This window comes from Homo sapiens, chromosome 11 (assembly GCF_000001405.40).
Source record: "Homo sapiens chromosome 11, GRCh38.p14 Primary Assembly".
In the NCBI taxonomy this organism is placed as follows: domain Eukaryota; kingdom Metazoa; phylum Chordata; class Mammalia; order Primates; family Hominidae; genus Homo; species Homo sapiens.
Genome location: NC_000011.10, coordinates 87,359,229 through 87,382,205, shown reverse-complemented (window position 1 = coordinate 87,382,205; position 22,977 = coordinate 87,359,229). Strand labels below are relative to the sequence as shown.

At 42.8% G+C, this 22,977-nt stretch overlaps 1 long non-coding RNA gene across 4 annotated transcripts in view; it reads right to left on the bottom strand.

Moving 5' to 3' along the window:
• The window catches only part of LOC107984361 (uncharacterized), a 552,293-nt gene extending 529,840 nt beyond the window's left edge, over positions 1 to 22,453 (bottom strand). For 2 of the 4 annotated variants that reach the window (XR_002957261.2, XR_001748316.2), the window contains exons 1-2: positions 22,256 to 22,453; positions 19,730 to 19,849 (exon numbers count right to left, since the gene is read on the bottom strand). This is a non-coding gene — a long non-coding RNA (uncharacterized LOC107984361). Of the gene's footprint in view, positions 1 to 9,337; positions 9,415 to 14,278; positions 14,804 to 19,729; positions 19,850 to 22,255 lie in introns of those variants that run through there. The other 2 variants (XR_002957260.2, XR_001748317.2) reach the window with 2 other exon arrangements.
• Positions 22,454 to 22,977: the final 524 nt, after the last annotated feature.

The following is a 22,977-nucleotide window of genomic DNA, read 5'->3' as shown; positions in this document are numbered from 1 at the left end:
TCAAAGGAGAGAACAGACACTATTTTTTTTTATGGACATATATACCACCACCTATGAGGTGATTTTATTTATAAAAAATTATGAATCTGAATCACATCAAGATTTAGTGCTAAGTACTAATTTCATAGAAATACATGGAAATGGAGAGACAGAGGAACATTTCATGATACCATGGGGAGCAATCAGCAAAACTCAGAGTAAGAAAAATTTCATAGGAGAAATGACTGTTTCATCAACAAATATATCTCAAGGAAATAATACAAAGAAGTAGAACCTATAAATTAAAAGATATTGAATAGATATATCATCTAAATGCAATATATAAACCTTCTTTAGATGCTGATCCAATCAAACTGTGTGTGTGTGTGCGTGTGTGTGTGTGTGTGTGTGTGTGTGTGTGTGTGTGTGAAGGGGTTGGGGGCAGAGAGAGAAAGAGAGAGAAATTTGAGCCCTGAGTGGATATTTCATGTTATTAAATAAATGTTTAGGTTTATCTTTTAAATTCTTGATAAGACAAGATATCTGGGATTTGCTTCAAAATAATCCTATTGTATGATAGGAGACGTAAGAAAGGGTGTAGATAAAACAACAGCAGTAGGGAATTAATGTAGAAATTATTAAAGGTTCAGGAGTTTTATTCTATTAGTCTCTCTATGGCCTGTGAATTTTTTACATTAAATGTTTAATTTAATTTCAACTCCGATTTACCAGCAAACTGAATATATCCCTGTTGCTCATATTTTGAAAGGATCCAATCAATATAGAATTGTTGTCAAGATTAAATGAAATTGCCTATGGAGAACAGGGAGTCTGGTGGCTAGAAAAGATAACAGAAAGTCCAGCTATGATGGCTAAAATATTATGTTTCAGGATTTCAGCTCACCTCAAAATATCCTGTGCAATTAATTCAAAAAATCCTGTATTGATTCTATGCAAATAACACAGACAAAATGGAATTCCTATACATTTAGCATATATTCAGAAATAAAATCTTAAGCACTGCATCTTTGGTTCCAAATGATTATTTAGTGTTTCCCTGCCTGGTGTCCAGCACATGAAGACTTCTTTAAGTCCCATCTACCCAATGCGTACTATACTTCCAAACTCAGCCCTGAATAATCCCAAGTAGCTCTTGACATTACTAACATTATTGCCTCTTTTTCTACACCATGCATACCTGCTATTGCCTTCTTCAAGTCCAACATACCCAGTTGCTCTCTCCATTTTGACCTTGTCTCCTCTCAGGGGTCATTTAATTTCTCCACCTAGGTTAAACTCCTCAGGACAGCCCTTCCAAGTCCTAAGGCATGGGTAGCCCTGCCACCAGTTTCTCCATGAGTTCCCATAGCAAAGATGATGCCCTTTCAAAGTGCCTCCTTCCTGTCTGTCCACCCTACCCTTGTCATCTCACTATCCAGCCTAGCTATTGTCAGAACTTTCAAATCATTCTCTCAGTATCTCTTACTACCTCTCTGCTGACACTTTACTTCCATTTTGCAATATACTTTGTCCAAATTTCACAAAAAGCAATGAATCCAGGATAACAGTAGCCTTATGTGGTCTCCCCAAGACTGATACCATGTTGCTGTTGACCTAGCTGCATTTTACTATTACTGGAAATCAACTAATTAGGCAATTTAGGGGGTATTTTGCATCCATTTTTTTCATTTTCACTAAGTAGGGTGACCTTGTAGAACTGCAACGGTTATTCCCCAAAGCAGGCCTAATGGCTGGCAATCTTAACGCTTGTTCAGTTTCCAAAAATGCTGGATTCCATATTCTCTTAAAAGAGAATAACCCAAACCTCTAATTCTCCACCATTGTCTATTCCAATTTTGCCAAAGAATTTAGAATGGTTTAGTGCCCAAATAGGATATATATACAGCATGGAAAGAACAGACAGATTACAATTAAATCTTTGATTAAATCACATCCCTTATTCTAGGCTTCAGTTTCATTACTGATAATATAATCTCTCTCTATTTTTTCTATTTTTTACTTGTACTTATTCCCTAAAATCCCAAGAGTCCTTTGAGGTCAGAGATTGTATTTTATTTTCTTTGTATCTCCTATGCCAAACACAGTTCTTTCAAATAGTAGCATTAGATTAATCTTAAATAAACAAATGAATGTCCAAGGTTCTGTGAAATTGTGACTTCCATAGAGATATCCAAAACACCTGACATCATCACCAGTTCTGCATAGCAGTAACAGCCAACCATTTATGATGAACATGAGCTACAGGCGCATTAAAAGCCTGCCCCAAATTGTGAGGTTCAGTTCTTGGCCACAATCCTGGAGAGGCAATAGTATGCAACGAGAAGTGTGCCAGAATCTGCTTCAATTCAAGGTACCACTGGAATCAGCATTATCTTGTGCAAGCTACTGGGCATAGGGAAATCACAGATTTTAGGGACAGGGGCCCTGAACACAAAGTTAGTTCCACTGGTCTCCCATTAAGAGTCTTTGTATGTAAGAAACAGAACTTACTTGAGCAACTTTAAGTAAAAGGTGATTTTTTTGAAGAGAGATATCAAAACAAACTCAAAGTCAGGGAGTGTAGACAGGTACCCAGAAAGCCTGGTTCCAGCAACTAAACACACATCACCCAAACGAGGCCACAGACTCATCCATTACTGAGTCCCTCACTCTCTGTAGCCACATGGTCTCTTACCCCCTCTTCTCTCTGCAAAGCAATTTTGTTGTTCCACATGTAAAGAGGCTAAATGGAGCTGCCAGATCCTATTATTGTCTTAGTGCTCAGTTCAGTTACCCATGGAGGCTGGCTCATGGTTCTCAAGTTCATTTCCAGTGTCCTGGAAGGTGGGGTTTGATTCTCCCCCACAGTCTGGACAGTGATCTCTGTCTACCCACTCAGCAGGGGCTGCAGTAATCTACTTTCTGAAGAGTGATGATTTTAACCAGGGACATGAAATGATCAGATTCCACTTCATAAGGCTCACACTGGCAGAGGTATAAAGGATACCCAAGGCCAAGAGAACAGTTCAGTGGGTGTTGCATTAACCAGAAAAGAAATGAGGAAAACTTAAAATCAGGAAATCTGCCAGGGAGACAATATGTAAATGAATTTGAGAACTATGAAAGAATTAGAATCACGAAATTCAATGTGGGAATGAGAAATGGAGATTTCTGATCTAGAGAGAGAGAGATGACACAACTAGTCACTGAACAAAAGAACTAAGCAGAATGGCAAGTTTGGGTGGCGTCGGGGATAGGACAGGAGTGAATAAATATATCATATTTCAACAAAGAACAACAATCTGAGTACAGATTCTTAATGATTTTTCAACTTTACAATGATGCAAAAGTGATATGAATTCAGTAGAAAGCATACTTCAAACTTACAATTTTGATCTTTTCCCATGCTAGTGATATGCAGTACAAGACTCTCTCACACTGCTGGATAGCAGCAGCAAGCCACGCTATTTTTCACTTTCAATACAGTATTCAATAAATTGCATGAAAAATTCAATACTTTTTTATAAAATAGGCCTTATGTTAGATAATTTTGCCCAACTGTAGGCTAATGTAAGTTTTCTGAGCGCATTTAAGGTAGGCTAGGCTGAGCTGTGATGCTTGGAAGGTTAGATTTTTTTTTCTTATTAACCAGAGGAAGTAGGTTAGGTAGGTATATTAAATACATTTTTGACTTAAAATATTTTGAATTGATGATGAGTTTATTGGGATGTAGCCCCATTTGTAAGTCAAGAAGCATCTGTATAAAGGTTAGATAGAAATACCAAAGGTAAAGTAGGGAAAACATGACTCAAAATGATCAGTTACAAACACATTTCTAATCATATTAGTAGAGGCAGGAGACAGAGAAATCCTAGGCAGTCAGGGATGGGTCACCAGCGTAACCCAACCTTCAAGCCAAAGACAGTCCCAAGTAAAACCTCAGATCAGAGTGAGAACTTCTTTCCTGTTTGCCCACTCTTTCCCAATTGGTTCTTTTTGAATAATGCCTTTCAACCAACTGAATGTTGCCTTTTCCAATACTACCTGTGGCCCGCCCTGCCACTATTCTGTGCCTATAAAGGCCCCAGACTCAGTGGGTAGACAGAGAGAGACGACCTGAGTTTGGGGAAGACAACCTGCTAGTCCCATTCCCTCTCCAGCTCTCCTCTCCATTAAGAGCTGTTTTCATTGCTCAGTAAAATTATCTGCCCTCACCATCCTTCAATTGTCAGTGTGACCTCATTCTTCTTGGACACCGGACAAAAGCTCAGGATCCACCAACTGAGGGTAACCAGAAAGGTTGTCACACTGGCCCTTTGCCCTCGCCAGCGGTGGGCAGCCACCCTACACAATGGGACCAGGGGCCAACTGAGCTGTTAACACACCGCCGTCCATAAGACTGTGGACAGCAGAACTAAAAGAGCTAATTAGCACACTAACACCCCCTCTGGGGTTTCAGGGTCATGGGCACCCTTGCCTGGGCGCCACTGTGTTCCTCTCAAGTGATACACCTGGTCTGGCCACGTGCCCTGCATGGAGCTTGTTCCTATGTCAGCACCCAGAGCGGCCAGCCCAATTCCACACTCCCTTGCTCATCTGCTCCCTCCTTCAAGGGGCTGAGCCAAGTAGACAGGGCACCCCTACTGGGAGTCCAGCAAAGGGGCTGAGAAAAATCCTGCATCAATATTACTTCCCAAATTAACACCCCTCAGTGGCTCTTCTTACTAAAAGATAAAAATCCAATCTATTATGCATGGACCCTAAAGCTCTTCATTATACAGCCTCTGGCTACTTCTCTACCCTAAGCTTCTGCCACAACAAGCAATAAAACTAACTACAGTTTCCTGGATGCACCACCTTCTCTTATTTCTTCTGTGCATTTAGACATCCTGTTTCCTCATCCTGGATATCCTCCCTCCCTCAGCTGCCTGGGCTTCTATTTGTTCTTCAAGACACAGTTCAAGACACCTTATCCATCCAAACCTACCTCACATACACTTTTCACTTGGTGATCTGTGTACTCCTTCATCTTGGTGCCTAGAAAATTGCTAAATTTCTGTTTCTAACATTGCGGCTTGTCTTGCCAGACTGTGAGCCCATGAATTCAGAAAATGTGTTTGCAACTCAGTATTGCAATGGCTACACATAGTAACACCTATCAAATGTTTGTAACTAGCTGGAACAATAGCACAGGCTCTGCAAAGATAACACACAGCCATGATAGCATTTTTCCCTAACAGTGTGAATCTCCTTTCTCTCTCTCAATCTCATTCTCTTCTTCTGCTTTCCCAGTATTGCACATTTCCTCTTGGAGTGGGGATAAGGGAAAATTCATTTCTGCTTCAGTCTTTGTGTCAAATGGGCATTTCCATGGCCTTTGGTAACCACCCACCATGGCCTTGGAATTAAAGTACCCATTGGCCTTATATAATTGTTCAGAAATAGATGGCAGACTCATTTTAAGTAAATTAAAATATATTCAGGGAGGAATCAAATCTACATAGGCTGAAAATAAATAAGGATGAAGAGAAAAATTCACAGTGGGACAGACCCAAAAAGAGTTGATTCATAGGTTTTAGAGAAAAGTTTAAAAGTTGGATGGACTCTTGGTCTATTTGGGCTGTTACAAGAGAATACCATAGACTGAGTGATTTATAAACAACAGAAATTATTTCTCACAGTTCTAGAGGCTGGGAAGTTCAAGATTAAGATACTGCCAGATTCAGTGTCTGGTGAAGGCTTATTTCCTGGTTCATAGATGATCATCTTCTCATTTTACCTCACATGATGGAAAAGGAAAGGGAGCTCTCTGAGGTCCCTTTTATAACGGCATGAATCCCATTTATGAGGACTTCACCTTCATGACTTATCACCTCCCGAAGACTCCACCTCCTGACACCCTCACATTAGGAATTAGGTTTCAACCTATTAATTTAGGGGGAACAAAAACTTTCAGACCACAGCAGTTAATACACCTAAATACACTCCTCATTTTTTCTCAAACCAGATTACAATAACATGGAAAGAATAGGAGGTGACAAAGTAAAAAAAGTGAGAGATACTGTTCTTTTGAGAACTTTGTAAACTAGATACTGAGAACCATAGGTGCAATCTTAAATCAGAGTGGAGTGAAAGTGGGGTGTGTGTGTGTGTGTGTGTGTGTGTGTGTATGTGTGTTAAAGATAAGATTTAACCCTATCTGTGGGTTTGAAGAGAAGAAAAGGGGAACTCAGAAAGGATACTGTTGAGACTGAACAGAGTGGGGCCAGGAGCCCAGGGGAGGGAAGGCCCTTCCTCCTCCCAGATGATGGCATCCCTACCCGATTTTCCAGCTCATCTCCCAACACTACCCCAACATATTCTCCTTCTAACCCCCTCCTACTCTCTCTGATTATGCCACACTTTCTCATGCTTTCAAGGTTTTGCACACATTTTTCCCTCCACCTGGAGTGTCAGTCCCCCAGTTGTCTCTAGTAAACTCTGACTTACCCTTTTCAGACACAACTCATTGATCTTTTTTACTGGGAAATTTCCTTCATTCTCCTATTTAAGCAAAGTAAATGCTTCCTCTCTGGTACTCACAGACTTGTACATTATATGCTTACTGGTGTTTTTATCCCTTCTGACTCCTGTGAAAGAAAAACAGATTTTGGGGCCCCAAAATCACTAAGTTAAAGGGAAAAGTCAAACTGGGAACAGCTTAGGGTAAATCTGCCTCCCATTCTATTCAAAGTCATCCCTGTGCTCACTGAGATAGATACATATCTGATTGCCTCTTTTGGAAAGACTAATCAGAAACTCAAAAGAATGCAACCATTTGTCGCTCACCTACCTGTAACCTGGAAGCACCTTGCCTGCTTCAAGTTGTCCCGCCTTTCTGGACAGAACCAATGTACATCTAACATATATTGACTGACGTCTCATGTCTCCCTAAAATGTTTGAAACCAAGCTGTGCCCTGACCACCTTGGGCAAATGTCAGGACCTCCTAAGGCTGTCATGGGTCCGTGTCCTCAACCTTGGCAAAATAAACTTTCTAAATTGACTGAGACCTATCTCAGATATTCAGGGTTCACAATCCCCAGCAGAGTAAGAGTGCCTTAAGGGAAAGAACTGTGCCTGGTTCACAGTACCTGGCAGACTAAACATTTGTGAAATGTTAATGAAATAATGAGTGAGGATGGGAGAAGTCATTGGATACTTTAGGAGCTTTGAGACAGCAAAGAGGAAAAGTATGGCCCCTTGCTGGGCTAAGAGGGCTGAATGGACTGATGCTCAAAGAGAAGACAGAACTGCCTGGAGCAGCCTCTATTGGAAATTCAGTGGAAATTCATCTAGAGATGATGGTAGGATTAGAAGCACAGTGAAGAACATGGCTGAAATTTCATGTCAATGGTATCCATTAAAAAAAATAGAAGCCCACAAAATTGAAGTTCATGACCTTTCTGTAGAGTAAAAAGCAACTATTTTCACTCCCACAGTTAATAGTTTTATCTGGGAAACAAATTAAGAGTGATCAAATCAGATTTATGAGACATCGGGGGCAGAGTGTCTCAGACAGCTGGGGCTTTCTAGAAGGCATAAAAATACCAACACTTTGTCCAAGTCCATGATCAAAGGCTTGCCAGACTGACTCATGAAGAAGAAAATCCACTTAACAAGATTAAGAAAATCTTTGATTTTTAATCTGTTGCTGCGTAAAAATATGAGTTTTGTTCAACAAATAGAATTAACTATCAATTAGAATGCTTTTAAAGTCTGTATCATAACCACAATTTAGCAATACCAACTGGATGTGTGGCTAGTGAGAAATCATCAGATATAAATCAAATATCAACTTAAATGGACTTGCCTCATCTTACTCCCTTTTCTGGAATTCTACAATCCCAGAACATTACAGAATATTGGATCTGCAAGGAAACTTGAAATGAATATCTAGGCCAATAAACTTATCAAAGGCCAGGGTAGAAAAGTGAATTACTCAGGCCTCCCACTTCGTTAGTGGTTGACCTGAGCCAGAAACACAACTTTTCTCATATTTCTATTAAATGATTTTCCCTCTACACCATGTCATGAAAATAAGGTTAAATTAAGTTCATTGTTGTCCCTACAATTAGTCAGTAAATTATTCCATATGGTTCAAAGTTTTCTGTCCTTGTAATTGATGTAGGAGATGGTAAGCGGATTTTGGAAGAGAGAGGGCTTGAACAGAAAGTTTGGAAGAATGATTTGAATCCACGGAGTATAAGAGGAGAAGGAATGGTGTTCCTAACCAAGATGAGGGAAAATATTATGATGAATGATTCAAGGGAAACTGACTGTCAATTCTGAATTGGAATTAACTTCTTTAGAAAAGTATTGCTCAGAACATAATCCACGGAGCACTAATTCCACAATATGCTCTATTAAAAAAAATCAAAACAAAAAGAGGGGGAATTCTGTGTTCAAACAAGATTGAGAAATGCATATACCCTCCGGTGCACATTGGTGTATTAAAGGCACCAAGTCTTCCTGCAGTCAGGAAACTTCCTTACTGTTTAAACTTTATACTGAATTAACTTTCACAAACTGAACATAACCAGCATTTAGATCACGCAACAGCACCCCAGAAGTGTTCAATTTTTTTCAACACTTTCTGAAATTCATTTGACCACAGAGAGAAGGTCAGCAAACTTTTCCTGTAAAGGGTCAGAGAGTAAATATTTTAGGTTTTCTGGCTACATACGGTCTCTGGTATGTGTGGCTAGTGAGAAATCATCAGATATAATCTGATATTGCATATTTTTCTTTTAGTACAACACTTTAAAAATAACCAAACCATTCTTGGCTTAAGGACTATACAGAAACAGGCCACAACTTGATTTTGAGCTCTTTACAGACCACCTGCCATAGAGCCCTCTTTCATGTTCCCTTTTTTACGTAATGCTTATTAGCATCCTATAACCTCTGGGTCTGCTAGAGATATTTTAGAAAATGTAGTTTAGCAAAAAGGCTCTCAAACATCGAGCATAATCATCAAGTGAAGAACTGGTGAAATGCAGACCCCGGGCCTGAAATACACATTTTCCTTAAGCACCTCAGGTGATTGTGATACAGGCAGTCTAAGAATCACACATGAAAGGGAAAACTGACAGAAATGGAGAAATAAGGGTAGTGATGACTTTCATGGCCACATACAATGATGGAAAAGTGGGAGAACTCAGTTACGTAGAGAACATTTTCAAAGCCTCTTTAGGGGAAACTTGGCATCTCCCTAAAGTATCAAAGATGGACAATGGAAGAAGAGTTTCAAGAGAGGTGAAGCAGTCACAACCCCTAATCTTCCAAGGTTCCCTATTCCCTTGGGATGTCTCACTTACCATCTCTGCCACCAACATAGACTGGCGGGATTGGTGTAAGAGAGGCTTTCTCCTTTTCCTGAATTCTTTCTGTAAAGCTGGGAAAAAAGAGGCATTCATTGTGGGCTTCAGTAAAGACTTCTAGAAAACACAGAAGAAAGAGACCTTTAACTAAGTAACAGTCAACTTTTCACCCAACTGATTAACAGGCTAAGAGTGAAGACTACGTGCTAAAGCAGACCTTGCTCTGGACCCCTGGACCATTCCTCACTAGTTATAAAATTCTTAATCTATCAGTCTCAGTTTACCCTTCTGTAAAAATGGAGATAATAACTCTTTCCATTTGGGGCTGAGAGTTTTAAAGAAAATATCATATTAAGAATGCCTGAGACCTGATAATTGTCCACAGGTGAGTCAGACATCTTACTGCCTTAAAGTAGAACCCAGAGAGGCCTTGAGAGAAACAGGAGTTCTCGATCCTTCCTGCTAAAAGCCTCTGAGAACCCTGCCTCTTCCATGAATTACATGTAGTGAGAGTATCTTCGGAGAGCTCTCACCTACATACTGGACCATTTCCTATAGATTAAATTGACTTCTCCTTTCAGGATATGAATCAATAAAGCTGACTTAGCACAAAAGAGACACAGTTATATAGTAGCAGTTGGGGTACAGTTTATAACAGCACCTCCAAGCCCATAATCATGCCTGGTCTAGAACACGCCCCACTCTATTTACTGGACACAGGCCTCAAGGACAGACACTGTGTCTGGTTCTCCTTTATGTATCATTCTTTCCAAAAATACTGGTATAGCAATTGAGGTAGCAATTAGCCAGGAAAAAAAAAAAGGTAAAATTTTTATGAATCTTGATAAAGATTTTACTTTCCTGCCTAAGTGGAGCATTCTGTATCTGATCAAGCCATCTCAGGTGTGTGAGGATGATATAAGGCCACCAGGTCCTCATTATCAACATCAGTTCTCCCTGCCTGATAACATAGCTGGAGGGGAAAACTGCACTGAAGCTGTATTAACAATGGGACAGCTCTGCGATACTGATTGTTTAGACTAAACCCCTGAAATTCTATTATTTTCTCGTCATTTGCCTCTCCCAAGGGCTAAGAAGAATCACAGTGGATTGTGAGTTGGAGTTCCATAGTCCAAGTTGATTAAGGTTTTGAAACCCAGATCTCATTCATCTGCCTTTCTTTCCGTCATGGCTCAGCGAAAGCAGAGATATGGGACCTACAGATTTCCACCCTCCTAGAGCCTAACTGTCTCCCATGATTCTCCAAGCATTATCTTACTTCTGTTCTAAAGAGAGAAAGAGTTTTCTCCATAGGATTTTAATGGATTTAGACCAGAAATTGGTATGCAACATGCAGTCCCAGATATGCGAGCAGTGAGACAGATCAACATGTCATTTCATTTGGCTATAATTTAATTACGGGCAGAAATTCTTTCCAGTTATGTGTTTCCCATATCCCCTTGATGTTTAGCATGTAAGGACAACTTTATTTGGATGGGAAAACATTTTCAAGAAGAGCTTCTGAAAAATCAGGCTTGGAAACAATTGAGGTGTTGGCAGGAAATTGCTTCCGAGGTCTGAGTAGCTCCGTCCTTAACATATACCTTTTAGTGAACAAACATTAGTCAAAGCCTGCTATGCCGATGGCACCATGCTGGGTGCTGGGAGCCCAGGACAAGCAGGACCCTGCCGCATGAGGGAGCTTATATTTCAATTAAGAAGCAACACTAAAACACTGTTTACATTAATAAATGTAGTAGAAATTATGGTAAATATTGTGAAGAAAAGTACAAGGAGTACAAGAGAAATTGGTTTCGCTCTGCAGGAATCAGGGATAGTTCTTTGAGGAAGAGACATTTAAATCAGGATTTAAAAGATGAGGAGGCATTAGCCTGGAGTGACACAGAGAATGCTTTAGAATAAAAGAATACCATGAGCAAAAGGTGGTATTCCTAAGGTGGAAAAGAGCAAATCGGGGAGTCAAAAGATCAGTGTGGCTAAAGCAGAGTGAGGGCAGACAGTCGCTCCCATGCAGTGGTGAAGTTAAGGATTTGGGCCATTATCCTAAAAGCAATGGGAAACCATGAAAGGGCTTCCAGGGAATGATCGACATCATTAACTTTGGTTTTGTTTTGTTTTGTTTTGTTTTTTTTTGAGACAGAGTCTTGCTCTGTCACCCAGGCTGGAGTACAATGTCACGATCTCAGCTCACTGCAACCTCCGCCTCCCGGGTTAAAGCAATTCTCCTGCCTCAGCCTCCCGAGTAGCTGGGACTACAGGCGCTTGCCACTACACCTGGCTAATTTTTGTACTTTTAGTAGAGACGGGGTTTCACCATGTTGGCCAGGCTGGTCTTGAACTCCTGACCTCAAATGATCCACTTGCCTCCGCCTCCCAAAGTGTTGGGATTACAGGCGTGAGCCACTGTCCGTGGTCTAACCTTGTATTTTTTAATGATAATTTTGGCTATTGTGTAGTGAATAGGCTGGAGAGAAGCGAGAGGTTTCTGGGAGGCCAGTTAGGAGGCATTGCTGTAATCTAGGAGAATAATCTACATGTGCTCCCAAGCACCAGGACATCGAAGGAAAATGCTGTTCAGTTGTTGGCATCTTTTGAAAAACTAATAATTAACTCTTCCACCTGTGGGAAGAAAAATTCAATTCAATTAGAATCTAGTTAACTAGAGCTTCAGGAACTACTGGGGGAGGAGCTGCATGCTGCCCATCAGGCCAGAGCTATGTGACCTGTAGACAGGTTTTCAGTGTGAGACCCAGTATCCACAGAATCCCCATTAGGGCTTGCGTAACCAGCTGCAGGCTGTCTCCAATCACTCCTGGCAGGGCAGATACTGCCTGGTGACTTGAACACAGCTCTTGCCTTTGAACCAGTGAAGAGACAGTAGGCAGAGGAGGAAGAGGAATGGGTGGAGACAGGAGTTCGAGTCGGATACTAAGGTGAAGCCATGTATGAGCCCTGTGACCTTGCACAGCTGCTACCCTCTTCTGCACCAGTTTCTTCACCTTACTGCAGACTGGGACTAATATACCTGCCTTATCAGATTTTCTGAGGATTAATTTAAAGTAAATGAGTTAGAGTGCATAAAGCATTATTTAGTAGAAAACCCGGCCCTGAGAAGTTCTCAGTAATGGATAGTTGCTGATTTTTTTAGCTGGGCGATACCATAGACTGCCAGGGAATTTGGACCCAGGCTCAGGTTTGAATCTCACCTCTACCACTTAGTCTTTGTGACTTTGTAAATAAAGTTAATAAAATTCCCTGGGTCTCGGTTTCCTGAAATGTTCAAATGGCGATAATAAAACCTATTGGAAAAGGTGGTCATGGAGATTAAATGAGTTAATGTGATTCACTTTTATTTCTGTTTCTACTTCCCCATAGGGAGGTGCATATGAGCAGCCTTTTCTCAAAGCCAGAGGGGGAGATGCCAAGGCAGTGAGTGGAGGGAAGTGAAATGAGACAAATATGAGTGCAGATAAGAGGACTTAGAGGCAGGCAGGTAACACCCTCACTCCATACATGCATCTGTCTGCACAAAGAGGAGACGATCATTCAGAGTGAAGCTGAATCATTCTGCCAGATCTCCCTGGGGAGAGACTAATTAGCATTTAAAGGGATGCTGGAAATGGATATCACTGATAAGGTAAAACCTTGCCATTCAGAGCTCTGCACTAAAAATGTGCATCCTGCTCTGACAAGGAAAGAAAGGAAACCTCCACAAATCACTTTCCTGTTTTTCGACTGAGGAAGGGTGGCTTGCACTTACTCTGACAGCTCCAGACTTGTCAGGGAAATGCAAGCTTGCTCTGGACAGGGCACTTTGTTTGCTGATTCAACACAGTCATGGAACACCCACTATGTGCCAGGCACCTTGCTGTAGATGAGGGAGACATGATGTGAACCTCAAGGAATTCGCAAGGGCAAGGGGAGACAGCACGATGTGGCGTGGTAAGGGCCTTAGGGGCAGTACACTGAGCTGCAGCAGCCCAGACATAGTGGAGACTTTTTCAACAGGGAACATTTGAGCAGTAACTGAAATTAATAGCAGGAGAAGAAAAGGCAAAATGGGCATTCAGAGCTTGGCATCACACAAACATTATCTCTGAGTTGGGAAGAAAGACAATGTAAGTGGAGAAAGCAGTGTAGGCAAATGCAGAGAGGTGTGGAAGGTGATCTCCACCTGAGCTGAGCCATACAACAACCCCAAAATGAAAAGTCAGCTTGCAAATCACAATTGGACGAAGAGTAACAAGATAATTCTTCATGCCCAGGAAGGTTAGGAATGAGATCAATCCAAAGAATGGCAGAGCTGGAGGGGTCCATAAACTAACTGGTCATTCTCTCAAATGAGGAAAAACTTACAATCAGAGAGGTAAGGACTCGTGCTCAGTATTACACACCCCCTAAGTGACAAAGCCAGGACTGGAAGTCAGATTTCCTCTTTACCACCCAGGCCTGGATCCCTTCCTCTGCACTAAAGCAAGGGTCCCTGGGGCAAAGATATCCAGCCAGGCCAACAAACTGGGAGTTGTACTGTGCACTAACAGCCCTGAGTCAACAATACCCTCTAGACCTTTTGTTCATATCAAGGGCTGGGAGGGGGAGAAAGGATGAAATGCAAGCCCAGACTCACTCAAGACCCAAACTACCAACCAATTTTCAAAGGAAAAACAAAGGCTTAGACAACACTTTATATTGGAAGCAATCTAAGTATCCAATACTAGCAGAATGATTAAATAAACAATAATAAATCCATTCAATTGTTCCTCAGCTATCAAAATTTTTCAAATATAATAACATTAAAATACCTATTAAATAATAATCAAGAGAAAAAGACATAAAACCATTAAAAATATATTAATACTGTCTAAAAGACAAAAATAGAATAAAAAACAGTAAAGGCAAACCAAAAATGTTGGTAAAAGGCTGTTTTGGTAAATAATGATAAATTAAAAGTGATTTTAAAATTTTAACTAGCTTTTTCAAATTGTCTTTAATTAGCTTATTATACCTGTGTAATACTAAGCTCTACTCAGCATATATACATAAATTACTATGTATAGAAAGAGATATGTAAATTATATTTCTCATTTTACACTCTTCCATTGAAAATGGCAGACTAGCTATGTTTGAGGTCAGCTAAGCCAATGGGCAATCAGTGTGCATCTATCTGCTGTGTGCCCAGAATTGTGCCACGCACTATGGAATATAGAAAAAAATTAGAAGATACACAACTGTACTCAAAAGTCTTAGAGAAATAAGATTGGCACAAGTGCAGAGTCTGGTGTATAGTAAGTCTCCCTTAACTACCCGTTGAATGAATGAAGATAGGTCCATGTGCAGGATTGTCTCTGATCAACTCAGCAGCATCCTCACTCCGTCTACTTAGGGCAATCATCTGGAACTTCTTTTCCAAGAATCTCTTTCCAGTATAGTTCTGGGTCAGTTCTGTCAAGGAGAGGCACTTGAAAGAGTTTTGGAAGACCAAAATGAAGTCATTATTTCCCAGGGGCAGCTGTTTGCAGGCATGTGGGCACTGGTGGAAGGCAGATGTTTGGAATATCACCCTGAGAATCATCCTTTTTGGTGGTGAAAAATGTTGAATCACCAATTATATCCCTTATCACCTCTGGGTAGCCTCCTGAGAATTACTCACTTTGGAGAGGCAGCTGCTGAGATTAGTGGAGCAGCTTCCCGAGACCTCTGCCTTTTTTGATTTTCTGAAAGCAGAAATCTCCATCTTCCAGTGGCCACAGAAATCTCGAATTCCCTGTATTAAGCCTCTTCCTACTTGAAATACCTACAGCAGCTTCTGTTCTAACCAAACCCTGACTGACTAATATGGACTACACATAATGAAATGCAAGAATGAGTGGACCTTGGTATTCTACAAGGAATATTCTACAAGGTATTCTACAAGGAGTGCTGGCAAAGTCTGAATCATGTGGTCCATTCTGAGCTAGATGAACCAACCAGATGAGTGGGTTACTTGTGTGTGAAGGAATAATTCTCCTTCCTGCTTCCCTTCAATTCTTTCCTCACTCATTCAAATTTCTTTCTCAAAGGCTTCTGCCTCTTTACCATTAGAAGAGCTAAGAAAATCATGTACTGGCTTTTTTTTAAAAAAAACTAATGCTAATAAATATTGATTCTCCCCAGGAGGATCTCATTTGGGAAAATTAACAGTTTGGTTTCCTGGCAGTGGTAGTCAGCATCCTGCAATAAGCCTAAAGGAAATCCTTACCAAGTCATTGAGACAACTCCAGTACAGGACACCTATTTCCTGTGATCCCTTCCAGATGAATCCAGCACCAGCAACCACAGAGGCCATGGAAGGATCACACAAAGCCCATCCAGTCTGGGAAATTCACTCAAAGACAAGGGCAGGTTGGGCCATCTCATTCATATGCATTACCCATTCTTTCAATCCACTTGTGTTAAATATATAGTATGTGCCAAGCACTGGTGGTTGGCAATAGAGACATGATGGCAGCAAGCCATGGTCCCCATCCTTGAGGAACTCAGCTATTCTAAGGCAACAACAAATGCTAATATTGTAATCATAGAAGGACGCTTCTTTTAGAGTCAAATAGTATTTTAACCTAAGTGCTGTTATAAAAATATAACTATCAATAAAAGCCAAGTGACTAAAGGTTGAGTGTGGAATGGAGGCAATTTTACTTCCAGGAAGGAAACATCCAGCAGACAGCTGAGGTTCTGAAAGAGGAGGTTTGGGGAAAAGAAAATGGAATTGGTCTTTTAAAGCCAATTGGTTCTAATAATTTGTCTTTTAAACTACAACATTCTCTGTCCCATTTAGGAAAGCAAAGCTTCCGCACACTGCCGATGGGCTGGTGACATTTGGAGTTACCCCTCAGGTGCATAAGTGCCAAGATGGCTGCGGTGGTCTCTACTGCGTACAGATGCATCCACCTTGAGTCTGTGGCTTCCAGTTGCTTTTGCTCCCTACCTTGAGTCATCTAACTTGGGATTATGGCTCCCAGTTGTCATTTTATCGGAAGTCAGTTTGCATGGTTGGCAGCAGTTTAGATAGCTCATTAACAGACTAACAATATAATTTATCATCCCAATCAGGACATTGTTGAAAGTAAAAGAATATAATCCTAGTAATTACAATAAAACAAGGCAAGAGCTGGAACCCAAGACTGCACCAAGGAGGGCAGCCACCTATCTAAAGGAGAAGCAAAGAGGTCACACATGTGTTGAGCTTCTGTGTGACATTCTACCAGCTGTTTACATTTGCCTTCTCTCATTTAATCCTGATAACAACTATATAGTGTAGATGTTACTTATTCAAATTTTACAAAAAAGGACCCATGGCCCAGTTAATTAAGGCATGAAGGAAGTCTTCCCAAAGGAGGTGACTCAATGAGAATATAAAGAATGAGTAGGAATTGGCTAGGAAAAGGATCAGGACTAAAGCATAGAAAAATAACATATGCGTAGGAATAGTAATGTGAAATAACTTTTAAGGAAACAGAGAAAAAAACAAATGATTCTGTTTGGCTAAAGGGAAGTGGTAAGAACCCAGAGCACATGGCTCAGGGGTCCTAAACTTTCCCTTCCACTCAGTGCTTCACAGGGGATGCCATCCATAACTCAGAAATACCAGCCATTGTACCCCAACCAAAGGAAGTGGGTCAGTAGCAGGAATATTACCCTTGGTGGACCAACAATAATCTTCCCAGAGACTTTTCTTCCAAATCTATTTTTTCTAAACCTTCATTCAGCTGCGGTTACTAAATTGACAGCATATGAGCAGAGGCTGCTAGGGCTATTTGCCACTATGTGGAGAAGGCCTGTTTGCAACCAAAGCCAAAGTGAAGGAGACACAGAGACACCTAGAAAGAAACAGAGACAGAAAGACCACCTGAAGGACACAGCTTGAAGCCTTAGATCCAGGCATGCCTGCAATTTAGAGTTTATACATCTTGGAATTTCCGATTACATAAACCAATAATTTCATTTTCTTGTTTAAATTCAAAGGGTTCTTTGTCTCAATACAGTGAATTTTAGATACATTTGTGCTACCACAATGGGTGTATCCAAAAATATTCCTGCAGCTCAAGAGACTGTCAGGAGGCATCAGTAAATTTGGAGGTACCATGATGGGAATCGAAATCTCAGGAGTGAATGTCACGGTCAATGGTGGGTACATCGATGAAAAAGCAGTAGGCCTGCTCTTTGTGGGGTACATAGCCAAGCCTATAAGGAGAACAGGAAGGGGAACCCAGGCAATAAGACTGAGAAAGAGCCATCAAAGAGGCAGAAGGAGGACTGCATCAAAGAAGAGATTGCTCAGCAGGGCCAAATGCCACAGAAAAGTGAAAGGAATTACCATGTTATAGGAAAATTGGGAAAACACCCCTTTCCCTCATTTCTCATGTCAAGGCTATAAGGTAGAGTAGGATAACTGCTGTAAGAGGAGTCAAAGTGTAATTGAAAGTCAAAGGCCAAATTCTATGGCCATTTCTGCTTCCGTCTTACTTGACTTTTTACCCTCTCTTACCACGTTGACAAGTCCCCCACTGAATATGTCTTCTCTTGGTTTCAGTGCTATCACTGTCTCCTTCCTCTCTCCTGACTTCTTGTTCCTACCTTCTCAGTGTTCTTTAGTGATACCTCATTTCTTATCAACCTCTTAAATGCTAATGTTTCTCAGGGATCAGAGGCTGTCTTCTTACCATACACTTTTCTTGGGCCATGTCATTCATTTATGGGTTCTGCAACAGCCCATGACTATTAAGTTCCTAATATGATCCCAGGGTCCCTAAATCCATATCTATAGGATGGGGGCTGCTAAAGCTGTTCAGTGCAGAAAGGAAATCTTTTCCTCTGAACAGACTTTAAATATGTCCCCAGAGGATTATGAACAAAGAAGGACTCCACTGAAAGGAGAGCCAGGGGCCCCACGGCCACCTACAGATGTTCATGCTGAGCACTGCACAAGAACACCTAGTGGAACAGCAAGCTCAGGCTGAAACACGGCCTGTAATCCTCTCTCCAAGCCCTCTGCTGAAGCGCTGCATGCACCTGGGAGAAGGGCTGTTGTTTCCTTATAAGCACAAAGACACTGTCTGCTTGCCAAAGCCATGCACCAGCAGGGCAACGACCACCCAGACGGTTGCCCTTTTCTAATGTATATAAAAATGAGGAATGGACCAACAGTGGCCCTGGGAACCCAAGAAACAATGAATAAGGGAGATACTTAGAGAAAGCAGAACTGGGGGCTGACAAAGAAACTTACTCCTCTAATGATATCAAGGAGTCTTCAGAAACCCTATCCAAGAGGACTGATCGTTGTTTCAGACCAGTGACTGTGCCATGTCTCCTCTTCTCTCCTTTTTCAACAGTGTTTATAGTGGTCATTCTGCTCCTGCCCCACCACTGCATACTGAGTATGCTGGGAGGTGCAAAGATGGCTTGGGCTTTAAGTATTCAGGTCACTAGACAGGAAGGACATCCAAATGTAATGGCAGGTCGTGATATTGTGATAAAATAAGAAATATATACATCTGCCCCTGCTTCCTGACATAGAGCTCCTAAGACCTTTCTAGACAGGGGTGCTAGAAGAATCTTTTGTTCTAATATTTGGTCTTTGACCACAGTTCCTGACACAGATTTCCTAAATCCCTTGGAATCTCCCGGGTGATAGGAGCATCTTTTGTTCTAATGAGGTGATTCTTCGTGGGCTCCTGGATGGCCTCAGGATGGGTCTGGTTGCCAGGGAAGCAACCTCGTGATTAGAGGATTGGAACTTTCATCCCCACCTCCAAGCGTCCGGGGAGAGCAGAAGGGCTGACGACTGAGTTGATAACCAATGGCCAACGATGTTACCCATGAACGTACCCATCCCACTATCAGGTAAGTCTTCCGCAAGATGACTGTAGCCCATCCTGTCACACTCTCACAAGCCTGAAAGGCAGGAAACATTCTGCTAGCTGTTTCTCTATCAAGGAATACTGGAGCTCAGATGCCTTCCATGGTTGGGACCAAAAGTCTATTGGCATTCTTAGGTGCTCCGTGCGCTGCTGCAGGCCCCAACAGAAACCATCTGTGGTCACATGCACATTCAGCTCAAATGGGCACCCCGGTCCATGACCTGTAGGGCTTGTGCCTGCTGAATAGACCGCTTGGCTGCCAGGAAGGCGGTCTCAGCCACATCAGCCCAATCCCGGATAGCTCCCATCTTTGTTAACAGACACAATAGTTTTATCATTTGAGCTAAATGGGGCACAAATGTCTGTCAATATCACAGGAGGCTCACAAAAGTTTGCAGCTATCTCACTGTGGTGGGCCGGGGACATGCCTGAATTTTGTCAATGATGGCTTCTGGTATGGCCTTTGTCTTACCTGACCAGATAACTCCCAAGAATCTGGCAGATAATCCAGGACCTTGGACCTTGGATTCGTTGACGGCCCAACCACATGCTGCTAAATGTTGCCGCAAGAGGGACGCCACTGCTTCTAAATCTGCAAGAGAATCAGAGGTTAACATAATATCATCAATATAATGGAATAAGCAGACCCCTTCTGCACATTGCCAGGAGACTAAATCCATGGCAACGAGACCATGACATAGGTTGGGCTATGGACATAGCCCTGCGACAACACTGTGAAAGTCCATTGTCGCCTTTCCCACATGAAGGCAAACTGGTCCCAGCTCTCTGGAGCGATGTTGATGGAGAAAAATGCATTGGCCAAGTCCACTACATAATGGTATTGTGCCAGTTCCATCAACAAATGGTCCATTATATTCATGATTGACAGCACAGCTGCATGCAAAGGGGGTGTTACTTTATTCAGTTCCCAGTAGTCCACCATTATCTGCGAAGTTCCATCAGGCTTCCTAACTGACCACACTGGAGAATTGTAGGGACTATGGGTGCCACACACTATCTGCACCTCCTCCAGCTTTTTAATTGTCTCAGTTATCTCTGTATGCCCACCCAGCAAATGGTATTGACAGGTGGAAGTAACCTGTCGGGGTTGTGGCAGGACCCGAGGCTGGTGATGCATATGTCCATGCAGCACTGGCTTCATCACGTGCACCTGGAGTCTGAATTCCCCAGCCATGGTTTGTAACACCAGGCCATGTAAAAGTACACCCCCAGAATGTATTCTGGTATGGGAGAAACATATACAGTATATAAATGGGGAGCCAAGTGGCCAGTGGTGTGGTACAGACATACAGGTTTCACTCTCACTGATCGGCCTCCGTAAGCATCAATGTGTGCAGCTTTGCCTGTGGGTTCCCATAAACAAGACTACAGTCTGTGCCAGTAGCTACCAGCACCAGCACCCGCTGTACATTGCTGGGGGACCAGTGGATTGCTAATTCTACATGTGGCCTCCAGTCGCCCAGTGTCTTCCTAAGCAGGGCACCTTGGCCAGTTCCCTAATCAAACAGAAAAGGCTCTGCATTTCCACCTGGCTGCAGCAAGCAGTCTTCAAGCTGGAGCCGCCCAGGTGGGACAGCGTTGTGCAGCAGTGTCCTTCTCCCCCTTGGACATTTTCTGGAATTGCTGCTCCAGAGACAACTGTCTCCACAAAGTTAAGAGTACTTCACTGGGCTGCTTATTGATTTTCTCTCAGTCAACCCTGGCCAAAATCAAATCTATGCACATATGTGAGCGTGTCACTCATTGGGGCCCCCTTTTATCCCATGGGGGAACCCCCTGCAGGTGGGGGAGCTTCCTCTTCTTTACAGCATGGACCCCTCAGTCCCGCCGATGGCCTTCTGCTTCCCTGAGAGCCACCATAGCAGTGGTCACTTCATGTGCGCGGCACCCTACGTACTAGGTGAAGACAGCAGCTAGGGAGCCAAAGGCACTGAGGGGCACAGGTCCCAACACAAGATCTCTCATGTGGTAGGTGAAACGTTCATCAGTGATACCCACAGATATTCAGATCAGACATAGCCTGCCGCATACCCATTTCCCAGATGACTTGCACCAAATCAGCATATGACTGCCGTTTACTCACAGTTTTGGGTATTTCACTGGCATCATTTCACACAGTCCGCATGGCTGCCCATAGCCACTCAGTCAGGGTGTGGTCACCTTGCCCTGCCGTTAACTGCCTCCTCACTTGGAACCGCTGACAGAGGGAGGGGTGAGTCTAATGGTGGCCAGCTTTTCCATCTCAGAGGCAGAACAAGAAATACTATCTGCTCCCTCATTTCACAAATGAAGCATCCAGGCAGACAGGGGTTCTCCTGGACGCTGGTGGACCTGCTTGCCTAATTCCCGCAACTCAGTTGCGGTACAGGCAATATATGAAGTGTGTTGTGTTATAGTGGGCAATCCCTGAGCCCGCCCTTGGGGTCCCAACAGCTGTTCATGATCTACCTTCTGACGGACCACTGGGCGACCCTGCAACAGGGGTTCTTCCTCCTCGGTATCAGACTGAGTGGGGAGTCTCCGGCTGAAACGACGGGCCCAGGCCTGCATTCATGGCAGCCCCTAATTCTTTTTCCAAGCTCTGAAGCCAGGTCTCCAGGTGCCCCACCTGCACCTGGAAGTCCCCATTTATGGCAGCCTCTAACTCTTTTTCTGATCTGTATAGCCAGGTCTCCAGGCACCCCGTCTGCGCCTGGAGGTCCCTTACCTGTACTGCACCTCAGGGACTGGGTGTGTACTTTTTTGTAGCACAGTCAAAGAGCCCCATCTGACTCTGCCGGCAAAGGCTCCCTCCTTCTCAGTGCTGTGTGCTTCCAGTTGCTCCAGCACCTTCTCCATGCTTGCAGGAGACCCATCTACCACCACCCAGGTATCCACCGGAGCCCATCCAAGCAGCACAGCTGCCAATGGGTACCACCAACCCATGTTACAGCCACATGGCCAACCCAGAATCAGCAGAAGCCAAAGGCTCACTCACCTCAGGATCCTGTTCATGACACCAATTGTCAGGTTCTATCCCAAACTGAGGTCCGAGGGGAGTCGGTGGGGGAGTAGCTGGAAAAACACTACAGGAATCGTAGGGAGTTTTGATATGGCTTTATCCTCTTTCTGGGCACAAGCCCTATGTATAGCCGCTAGCAGGGTAATTATACCTTTTGTAGACAACAGTGTCTCTAAGCCAGGCACAGACTCATGTGAGTGATCACCTAATGCACTTCACGTGGCATGGTTACATAATGTGTGGCCACAGGTCAGGGCCTTTCCCGGACCAAAACGCCACTGGAGACTGATCTCAGGTGCAGCTTGTTCTAGCTGAGGGTCTAAGGATATGTAAATACCCATCATGAGCAGGGGAGGCAGTAACGAAAGCCCAGGCCAGCTCGCAGGAAGCCCCAGGTGTTTTTTATGAGAGTGTTTTGAGAGTGCACCTGTGCTCCAAACCCAGTGAATCATGCTGTGCCAGAAGGCTGCCTCAGCCTATTCCTGACTAAAGTGCAGCCATTTCCCTTACAATGTGTACATAGAAGTTATCAGGTAGGACTTAAAAAGAAGGTAGACAGCTGTAGGCATAAGCACTTTTCTTTTTTAAAAAACCTTCCACCTTTTTTTCCTGCTTTCTGTCTGGAATGCAAAGATGATGCCTGGTGCTCTAGCAGCGATATTCAATTATAAGACAAATCCAAGGTGGAGGATACATAC